Consider the following 8,394-nt stretch of genomic DNA (forward strand, 5'->3'; position numbering starts at 1 on the left):
CCTTCACTTCCCTTGTAAGGTGGATTCCTAGGTATTTTATTCTCTTTGAAGCAATTGTGAATGGGAGTTCACTCATGATTTGGCTCTCTGTGTGTCTGTTATTGTTGTATAAGAATGCTTGTGACTTTTGTACATTGATTTTGTATCCTGAGACTTTGCTGAGATTGCTTATCAGCTTAAGGAGATTTTGGGCTGAGACGATGGGGTTTTCTAGATATACAATCATGTCATCTGCAAAGAGGGACAATTTGACTTCCTCTTTTCCTAATTGAATGCCCTTTTTTTTCCTTTTCCTGCCTGATTGCCCTGGCCAGAACTTCCAACACTATGTTGAATAGGAGTGGTGAGAGAGGGCATCCCTGTCTTGTGGCAGTTTTCAAAGGGAATGCTTCCAGTTTTTGCCCATTCAGTATGATATTGGCTGTGGGTTTGTCATAGATAGCTCTGATTATTTGGAGATACATCCCATCAATACCTAATTTATTGAGAGTTTTTAATATGAAGGGTTGATGAATTTTGTCAAAGGCCTTTTCTGCATTTATTGAGATAATCATGTGGTTTTTGTTTTTGGTTCTGTTTATATGTTGGATTACATTTATTGATTTGCGTATGATGAACCAGCCTTGCATCCCAGGGATGAAGCCCACTTGATCATGGTGGATAAGCTTTTTGCTGTGCTGCTGGATTCGGTTTGCCAATATTTTGTTGAGGATTTTTGCATCGATGTTCATCAAGGATATTGGTCTAAAATTCTCTTTTTTTGTTGTGTCTCTGCCAGGCTTTGGTATCAGTATGATGCTGGCCTCATAAAATGAGTTAGGGTGGATTTCCTCTTTTCTATTGATTGGAATAGTTTCAGAAGGAATGGTACCAGCTCCTCCTTGTACTCTGGTAGAATTCAGCTGTGAATCCATCTGGTCCTGGACATTTTTTGGTTGGTAAGCTATTAATTATTGCCTGAATTTCAGAGCCTGTTATTGGTCTATTCAGAGACTCAACTTCTTCCTGGTTTAGTCTTGGGAGAGTGTATGTGTCGAGGAATTTATCCATTTCTTCTAGATTTTCTAGTTTATTTGTGTAGAGGTGTTTATAGTATTCTCTGATGGTAGTTTGTATTTCTGTGTGATCGGTGATGATATCCCCTTTGTCATTTTTTATTTCATCTATTTGATTCTTCTCTCTTTTCTTCTTTATTAGTCTTGCTAGTGGTGTATCAATTTTGTGGGTCCTTTCAAAAAACCAGCTCCTGGATTCATTGATTTTTTGAAGGGTCTTTTGTGTCTCTATTTCCTTCAGTTCTGCTCTGATCTTAGTTATTTCTTGCCTTCTGCTAGCTTTTGAATGTGTTTGCTCTTGCTTCCCTAGTTCTTTTAATTGTGATGTTAGGGTGTCAATTTTAGATCTTTCCTGCTTTCTCTTGTGGGCATTTAGTGCTATAAATTTCCCTCCACACACTGCTTTGAATGTGTCCCAGAGCTTCTGGTATGTTGTGTCTTTGTTCTCGTTCATTTCAAAGAACATCTTTATTTCTGCCTTCATTTCATTATTTACCCAGTAGTCATTCAGGAGCAGGTTGTTCAGTTTCTATGTAGTTGAGTGGTTTTGAGTGAGATTCTTAATCCTGAGTTGTAGTTTGATTGCACTGTTGTCTGAGAGACAGTTTGTTATAATTTCTGTTCTTTTACATTTGCTGAGGAGTGCTTTACTTCCAACTATGTGGTCAATTTTGGAGTAGGTGTGGTGTGGTGCTGAAAAGAATGTATATTCTGTTGATTTGGGGTGGAGAGTTCTGTAGATGTCTATTAGGTCTGCTTAGTGCAGAGCTGAGTTCAATTCCTGGATATCCTTGTTAACTTTCTGTCTCGTTGATCTGTCTAATGTTGACAGTGGGGTGTTAAAGTCTCCCACTATTATTGTGTGGGAGTCTAAGTCTCTTTGTAGATCAGTAAGTACTTGCCTTATGAATCTTGGTGCTCCTGTATTGGGTGCATATATATTTAGGATAGTTAGGTCTTCTTGTTGAATTGACCACTTTACCATTATGTAATGGCCTTCTTTGTCTCTTTTGATCTTTGTTGGTTCAAAGTCTGTTCTATCAGAGACTAGGATTGCAACCCCTGCCTTTTTTTGTTTTCATTTGCTTGGTAGATCTTCCTCCATCCCTTTATTTTGAGCCTATGTGTGTCTCTGCACACTGATGGGTCTTGACTCTTTTTTTTAAATTTATTTTATTTTATTTTTATTTATTTTTATTTTTTTTTAGTATTTATTGATCATTCTTGGGTGTTTCTCGGAGAGGGGGATTTGGCAGGGTCATAGGACAATAGTGGAGGGAAGGTCAGCAGATAAACCTGTGAACAAAGGTCTCTGGTTTTCCTAGGCAGAGGGCCCTGCCGCCTTCCGCAGTGTTTGTGTCCCTGGGTACTTGAGATTAGGGAGTGGTGATGACTCTTAATGAGCATGCTGCCTTCAAGCATCTGTTTAACAAAGCACAACTTACACCGCCCTTAATCCATTTAAAACCTTGGTGGACACAGCGCATGTTTCAGAGAGCACTGGGTTGGGGGTAAGGTTATAGATTAACAGCATCCCAAGGCAGAAGAATTTTTCCTAGTACAGAACAAAATGGAGTCTCCTAAGTCTACTTCTTTCTACACAGAAACAATAACAATCTGATCTCTCTTTCTTTTCCCCACATTTCCCCCTTTTCTATTTGACAAAACTGCCATCATCATCATGGCCCGTTCTCAATGAGCTGTTGGGCATACCTCCCAGACTGGGTGGCAGCCGGGCAGAGGGGCTCCTCACTTCCCAGATGGGGTGGCCAGGCAGAGGGGCCCCCCACCTCCCAGATGGGGTGGTGGCCAGGCAGAGGGGCTCCTCACTTCCAGACGGGGTGGCCAGGCAGAGGGGCTCCCCACTTCCCAGAGGGGCAGCTGGGCTGAGGCACCCCCCCACCTCCCAGACGGGGCGGCTGGCCGGGTGGGGGCTGGCCCCCACCTCCCGGACGGGGCGGCTGGCGAGCGAGGGCTGCCCCCCACCTCCCGGACGGGGCGGCTGGCCGGGTGGGGGCTGCCCCCAACCTCCTGGATGGCGTGGCTGCCGGGTGGAGACGCTCCTCACTTCCCAGATGGGGTGGCTGCCAGGTGGAGGGGCTCCCCACTTCCCAGATGGGGCGGATGGCTGGGTGGGGGCTGCCCCCCCACCTCCTGGATGGGGTGGCTGCCGGGCGGAGATGCTCCTCACTTCCCAGACAGGCGACTGCCAGGCGGAGGGGCTCCCCACTTCCCAGACGGGGCAGCTGCCGGGCAGAGGGGCTCCTCACTTCTCAGACGGGGCAGCCGGTCAGAGACGCTCCTCACCTCCCAGACGGGGTGGCAGTGGGTCAGAGACACTCCTCAGTTCCCAGACGGGGTCGCAGCCGGGCAGAGGCACTCTTCACATCTCCGATGGGGCGGCGGGGCAGAGGTGCTTCCCACATCCCAGATGATGGGCGGCCAGGCAGAGACGCTCCTCACTTCTTAGATAGGATGATGTCTGGGAAGAGATGCTCCTCACTTCCCAGACTGGGCAGCCGGGCAGGGGGCTCCTCACATCCCAGATGATGGGTGGCCAGGCAGAGACGCTCCTCACTTCCTAGACGGGGTGGCAGCTGGGAAGAGGCGCTCCTCACTTCCCAGACTTGGTGGCCAGGCAGAGGGGCTCCTCACATCCCAGACGATGGGCGGCCAGGCAGAGATGCTCCTCACTTCCTATACGGGGTGGTGGCTGGGCAGAGGCTGCAATCTCGGCACTTTGGGAGGCCAAGGCAGGCGGCTGGGAGGTGGAGGCTGTATCGATCTGAGATCACGCCACTGCACTCCAGCCTGGGCAACATTGAGCACTGAGTGAGCGGGACTCCGTCTGCAATCCTGGCACCTCAGGAGGCCGAGGCTGGCAGACCACTCGTGGTCAGGAGCTGGAGACCAGCCTGGCCAACATGGCGAAACCCCATCTCCACCAAAAAATACGAAAACCAGTCAGGTGTGGCGGCGCGCACCTGCAATCCCAGACACTCGGCAGGCTGAGGCAGGAGAATCAGGCAGGGAGGCGGCAGTGAGCCGAGATGGCGGCAGTACAGTCCAGCCTTGGCTCAGCATCAGAGGGAGACCGTGCAAAGGGGAGAAGAGGACCGTGCAAAGGGGAGAGGAAGAGGGAGAGGGAGAGGGAGAGGGAAAGGGCAGGTCTTGACTCTTTATCCAATTTGCCAGTGTGTGTCTTTTATTTGGAGCATTTAGCCCATTTACATTTAAAGTTAATATTGTTATGTGTGAATTTGATCCTGTCATTATGAAGTTAGCTGGTTATTTTGCTCCTTAGTTGATGCAGTTTCTTCCTAGCCTTGATGGTCTTTAGAATTTGGTATGTTTTTGCAGTGGCTGGTACCAGTTGTTCCTTTCCATGTTTAGTGTTTCCTTCAGGAGCTCTTTTAGGGCAGGCCTAGTGGTGAAAAAATCTCTCAGCATTTGCTTGTCTATAAAGGATTTTATTTCTCCTTCATTTATGAAGCTTAGTTTGGCTGGATATGAGATTCTGGGTTGAAAATTCTTTTCTTTAAGAATGTTGAATATTGGTCCCCACTCTCTTCTGGCTTGTAGAGTTTCTGCCAAGAGATCAGCTGTTAGTCTGATGGGCTCCCCTTTGTGAGTAACCCAACCTTTCTCTCTGGCTGCCCTTAACATTTTTTCCTTCATTTCAACTTTGGTGAATCTGACAATTATGTGTCTTGGAGTTACCCTTCTTGAGGAGTATCTTTGTGGCATTCTCTGTATTTCCTGAATTTGAATGTTGGCCTGCCTTGCTAGATTGGGGAAATTCTCCTGGATAATATCCTGCAGAGTGTTTTCCAACTTGGTTCCATTCTCCCCGTCACTTTCAGGTACACCAATCAGATGTGGATTTGATCTTTTCACATAGTCCCATATTTCTTGGAGGCTTTGTTCATTTCCTTTTAGTCTTTTTTCTCTAAACTTCTCTTCACGCTTCATTTCATTCATCTTCCATCACTGATACCCTTTCTTCCAGTTGATTGCATCGGCTCCTGAGGCTTCTACATTCTTCACGTAGTTCTAGAGCCTTGGTTTTCAGCTCCATCAGCTCCTTTAAGCACTTCTCTGTAATGGTTATTCTAGTTATCCATTCATCTAATTTTTTTTCAAAGCTTTTAACTTCTTTGCCATTCGTTCGAATTTCCTCCTGTAGCTCAGAGTAGTTTGATTGTCTGAAGCCTTCTTCTCTCAACTCGTCAAAGTCATTCTCCATCCAGCTTTGTGAGGAGCTGTGTTTCTTTGGAGGAAGAGAGATGCTCTGATTTTTAGTTTCCAGTTTTTCTGCTCTGGTTTTTTTCCCATCTGCGTGGTTTTATTTACCTTTGGTCTTTGATGATGGTGGCGTACAGATGGGTTTTTGGTGTGGATGTCCTTTCTGTTTGTTAGTTTTCCTTCTAACAGACAGGACCCTCAGCTGCAGGTCTGTTGGAGTTTGCTAGAGGTCCACTCCAGACCCTGTTTGCCTGGGTATCTGCAGCAGTGGCTGCACAACAGCGGATATTGGTGAACCGCAGATGCTGCTGCCTGATGGTTCCTCTGGAAGTTTTGTCTCAGAGGAGTACCCGGCCATGTGAGGTGTCAGTCCACCCCTACTGGGGGGTGCCTCCCAATTAGGGTACTTGGGGGTCAGGGCCCCGCTTGAGGAGGCAGTCTGCCCGATCTCAGATCTCAAGCTGCATGCTCAGAGAACCACTACTCTCTTCAAAGCTGTCAGAGAGGGACATTTAGGTCTGCAGAAGTTACTGCTGTCTTTTTGTTTATCTGTGCCCTGCCCCCAGATGTGGAGCCTACAGAGGCAGGCAGGCCTCCTTGAGCTGTGGTGGGCTCCACCCAGTTCGAGCTTCCAGGCCGCTTTGTTTACCTAATCAAACAACTAACTCAGCAATGGCGGGCTCCCCTCCCTTAGCCTCGCTGCCACCTTGCTGTTTGATCTCAGACTGCTGTGCTAGCAATGAGTGAGACTCTGTGGGTGTAGGACCCTCCGAGCCAGGTCCGGGATATAATCTGGTGTGCCATTTTTTTAAGCCCCTTGGAAAACGCAGTATTAGGGTGGGAGTGACTCAATTTTCCAGGTGCCATCTGTCACCGCTTTCTTTGACTAGGAAAGGGAATTCCTTGACCCCTTGTGTTTCCCGGGTGAAGCGATGCCTCACCCTGCTTCTGCTCGTGCATGGTGCGCTGCACCCACTGTCCTGCATCTACGGTCTGGCACTCCCCAGTGAGATGAACCTGGTACCTCAGTTGGAAATGCAGAAATCACCCATCTTCTGTGTCACTCACGCTGGGAGCTGTAGACCGGAGCTGTTCCTATTCGGCCATCTTGGCTCCTCCCCCATAGCTAGTGGTTCAAGTGTTTTCTGTTTGATCCCCATTTTAAAGATTCCCAGGCCGGGCAAGGTGGCTCATGCCTGTAATCTCAGCAGTTTGGGAGGCCGAGGCAGGTGGGTCATTTGAGGTCAGGAGTCTGAGACCAGCCTGACCAATACAGTGAAACCCTGTTTCTATTAAATACAAAAAAAAATTAGCCAGGCATGGTGGCACGTACCTGTAATGCCAGCTACTTTGGAGGCTGAGGCAGGAGAATTGCTTGAACCCGGGAGGCAGCAGTTGCAGTGAGCCGAGATCGCACCACTGCACTCCAACCTGGGCAACAGAGTGAAACTCCATCTCAAAAGAAAAAAAAAAGATTTCCAACTACTTTCATCTGATGGCTTTAGCAGCCTTTAATGATGATGGTGTAGTTCTATTATTCCTCATCTGATGGCTTTAGCAGCCTTTAATGACGATCGTGTAGTTCTATTATTCCTACATTAGAGTAGAAATTCTTTTCCTTATTAACAGTTTGGTTACTCTCAAGTAGAATTTGTGGAAAAAAACAAGATAAATAATTATTTCCCTTTACTGTTAGTTTATTATTTCAGAATAATGAATTGGAGACCTAGAAATTAAATGATAACCAAGTAGGTAATTGTCATTTTTTTCTGTACTTGTAAATTTATGGATCTTTATATATTTGATATGCGTGTGTGTTTTATGCTCAAAATTTCTTTGCTCTGTGAGTCCTCTTCAGCCAGTGAGTCAATTTGAGTTGGTTTCTATGTTATTCTAGCATGACCCTGGTAGTTTCTGACAGCTTTCTTGATTTCTGGCATGATAGGTTCTCAGACTTATCTTGTACATTACTTGCCCAACTTAAAAGTGGTGTTTAGAGATCTGTGTGTTTGGTGTGCTTATTGCCACTGAGTTGTTATTATTCCCAAGCTTTTACAGTGGTCAGAGCTAATTAGTAAACATTTGTTTTTTAGAAAGAGAAAAGTAATTATTTTATTGTGATATTTTATATTCAAATGTAAGATTATAGGACTTTTATTTAATCATTTTGATTTTACAAGGGCATCTTTTTTCTTTTACACTGAATCATGATTCCTAATGATATTAATATATTATTTATTTTATCCGAATATACATAGTATTCAGGTTTTAAAAAATATACTTATATAGTAATTTCAAAATAACAATTATGTTGCTACTACTAATGGCATGACATTTAATGCAGTTTAAGATTTTGGGGGGGTTCTTTGTGTCCTTAGGATATATTCCACCACTGATGTACAATACAGATACTACATTTAAGCTATTCCATCAACTTTATGTACAATTAGGTTTATTTATTTATTTAAAACAGCTTGATTTTATCTTGCAGTTTTCACTTGTAGAATATACACCAATAAGGATATACAAATGATTGTCTTTTAAAGTCACTTGAAAAAAATAATTCTCTGTACAGATAATCTACCAACTTGTTGGTTAAATTTATTTGCTTTAGAGTTGCAAGGTACTTATTTTAATTTTTAATTTTTTTAAAAAAATTATTTGTAAAATCTGATAAGTAAATATTATAAATATGTTGTATAACATGTTTATATATATATGTATATGCAATGTGGAATGACTAAGCTATTTTACATAAGCATTACCTCACATACTTATTTCTTTGTGGTGAGAACGCTTAAATCTACTCACTTAGCAATTTTCAAATATATAGTATACTGTTATTAACTGTAGTCACCATGATATACAGTAGATCTCTTGAACTTATTTCTCCTGTCTAAACAAAATTTTGTTTCCTTTGACCGACATCTCCCCAATCTCTCCACCCCTCAGCCTCACTCTCTGTTTTTTTTTGTTGTTGTTTGTTTCAACTTATTTTAAGTTCAGGGGTACATGTGCGTTATGTGCAGGTTTGTTACATAGGGAAACATGTGCCATGGTGGATTGTTACAAAGATCATCCCATCACCAAGGTA

The 8,394-nt window shown here is 44.4% G+C and overlaps 1 annotated feature.

The window, feature by feature from the left end:
• Positions 2,827 to 3,498: an enhancer, noted in NCBI's record as "H3K27ac hESC enhancer chr5:43745853-43746524 (GRCh37/hg19 assembly coordinates)". NCBI's record gives its function as "activates a minimal SCP1, AML or CMV promoter by ChIP-STARR-seq in primed H9 embryonic stem cells {active_cell/tissue: H9 hESC(primed)}" and the evidence as "EXISTENCE:reporter gene assay evidence [ECO:0000049][PMID:30033119]".

The sequence above is a fragment of the Homo sapiens genome, chromosome 5 (assembly GCF_000001405.40).
Source record: "Homo sapiens chromosome 5, GRCh38.p14 Primary Assembly".
NCBI lineage: Eukaryota > Metazoa > Chordata > Mammalia > Primates > Hominidae > Homo > Homo sapiens.